The sequence below is a fragment of the Homo sapiens genome, chromosome 3 (assembly GCF_000001405.40).
Source record: "Homo sapiens chromosome 3, GRCh38.p14 Primary Assembly".
Taxonomy (NCBI): Eukaryota; Metazoa; Chordata; class Mammalia; order Primates; family Hominidae; genus Homo; species Homo sapiens.
Window position 1 is genome coordinate 148,220,596 of NC_000003.12, and position 717 is coordinate 148,221,312.

Genomic DNA, 717 nt, shown 5'->3' on the forward strand with positions numbered 1-717 from the left:
CACATCAACTCTGCACTCTGTGGGAAAAAGTAGAAAACTCAAGTTTACACAGCTAAAAGGATAAGCTAGGATGTGAAAAAAATCTATTGGTCCCTATTCACTACACCAAACTGCCTTGCTAAGAAATAATATATTCTACATGTTATCGTTATAAGTTATGGTGATACTAACATAAAGCAACCAATCAATTTATGATTATCCACTGATTATAAAGTGTACTAACTTCTCTGTCTTATCAATTCTGGAAATATTTTTTCTTGAAATAATATGAGAATAGGGTATATTTAATCACCACTTTGAAAAGTAGAATAATCAACCGTAACTTTTTTTTACAAATATTTCATTAAAAATATGATTATAACAAAAATAACAAGCCTGAAAAACTCTACTTTGCAAGTAAGAAAGCTCTGTTTCTTCTAAAATTTTGATGCCAAAATCTAAAATGTTTTGCTTTTCCACAAAAGCATGCTTTTTCTCTGTTTTCACCTGCTGTGAGAATTATTCCTACATTATAATTAGTTCAGATAAATGAATGGCAAGATTGCTCTTCAGATTTTACTTCTTAAAGCTCATTTACATGATGGTCTATGATGACATGGTTATTAACAGATTTGGGGCAATTAATTAGGGTAGTTGGTAGAGTTGTTAGCACAAAGGGAAACTAAGAGGTTACTTTAGTAAAAATCTTTGTTCTCATGAGACATGACAGTACCATTA